The sequence below is a fragment of the Homo sapiens genome, chromosome 7 (assembly GCF_000001405.40).
Source record: "Homo sapiens chromosome 7, GRCh38.p14 Primary Assembly".
Taxonomy (NCBI): domain Eukaryota; kingdom Metazoa; phylum Chordata; class Mammalia; order Primates; family Hominidae; genus Homo; species Homo sapiens.
In genome coordinates, this window is record NC_000007.14 from 21,280,274 (window position 1) to 21,281,856 (window position 1,583).

Genomic DNA, 1,583 nt, shown 5'->3' on the forward strand with positions numbered 1-1,583 from the left:
AAAAACAAAGACAAAAGCTGTTGAAGGATCTGCTTGCTTAGAGGCATCTGTTGAAGGAACTGTCTTGCTTTGGAGGCAATGTTTCAGGCTTCAAATTGAAGGCAATGAGACCAACAAAAATTTAAGCAAGGCTATATCAGATATGAAGAAACTTGTAATGACCTGGATTGGAGACCAGACACAGAAGCATATCCTTCTCAGCACCATGAAAATTATGGCCAAAGCAAAAAGTTTGTGATGTTGAAAGAAAAGGCTGGACCTGATCACAATGTTGAATTTGCTGCCAGCTCTGGGTGGTTTAAACAATTCAAGAATCATTATTCATTGCATCATGTAAAAATGAGCAGTGAGTCTGCGAGTGCTGATGTGAAGGCAGCTGAAGAATTTTTGGAAACTCTGGATGTGCTGATTGTGGAGGAAAATTACTTGCCAGAGCAAATCGATAGGGATGAAACCTTCCTATTCTGCAAATGGATGCCTGAGAGGACTTTCATCCATAAGGAAGCCAAGTTAACGCCGACTGTCAATTCTTTGAAGGACAGGATAACAGTTTTGCTTCGAGGCAATGTTGCAGGTTTCAAATTGAAATCCTTTGTGATATGGCACAGTGAGAACCCCATGGCCTTCAAACATATCAATAAATGCACACTTCCAGTGTACTACAGGAGAATAAGAAGTCATAGATGACCCAGCTCCTCTTCCAAGATGTCCCCCTGAATGGCTATGCCAGCGAAATGGAGAACTCTTTGGAGAATAACATACCGTTCAAGATATTGCTTATTATTGATAATCCTCCTGCACATCCTTCTTTCATTGGCAATCTTCATTCCAATATTAAAGTGGTGTTTCTTCCTACAAACACCACCTCTTTGATCCAATGAATGCATCAAGAACTTATAGCTGCTTTTAAGGCCTACTCCCTGAGTTGGGTCCTTGCCCAGCCTATGGTGAAACTGAGGAAGACACTGAGAAGACACTGATGCAATTCTGGAAGGATTACATCATCTATAGCTATGTTAAGAGCCTTGCTTGGAATAGGGGTAATGTCACCAATTAGTGTTTGAATGGCATCTGGGAGGAGACACTCAACATTCATCAGTTGCTTCAAAGGATTTGCCAAAGATGAGGATATTGCAAAATCAGTGAGGCTGTGGTTGGAGATGGGTGTGGATGAGGATGATATTGGGGCTTTGCTGCAGGTGGCTTCTGAGGAATTAGCTAATGAGGAGTTGTTGGAACTGGAACAGAAACCCACAGCTGAAGAAGAGGCAAGAGACAAGGAAACTGCAAGAGAAGAAAAAAGAAGAACCCCCAAGAAGATTCACAGTGAAGGGTTTAGCAGAAGCTTTTGCAGGCCTCACCAAGCTTCTTAACAGCTTCTTAAAAAGTTTAAAAACATGGATCCCAACTCCAAAGTGTTTTCATTAATAGAGGGTTGCTCATGGTGCATTATCTGCTTGCAAGCAAATCTGTAATGAAAAAATGAAACAAACCAAGCAAATCATCATGGCCATATTTCTGAAAAGAGTGAAACTTCCTCAAGAAGAGCCTCACACGGGTCCCTCATGAGGTAGTCTAGAAGA

The 1,583-nt window shown here is 41.6% G+C and overlaps 1 annotated feature.

Annotated features, from left to right (window-relative positions):
• Nucleotides 840-1,341: an enhancer, noted in NCBI's record as "NANOG hESC enhancer chr7:21320731-21321232 (GRCh37/hg19 assembly coordinates)". NCBI's record gives its function as "activates a minimal SCP1, AML or CMV promoter by ChIP-STARR-seq in naive H9 embryonic stem cells {active_cell/tissue: H9 hESC(naive)}" and the evidence as "EXISTENCE:reporter gene assay evidence [ECO:0000049][PMID:30033119]".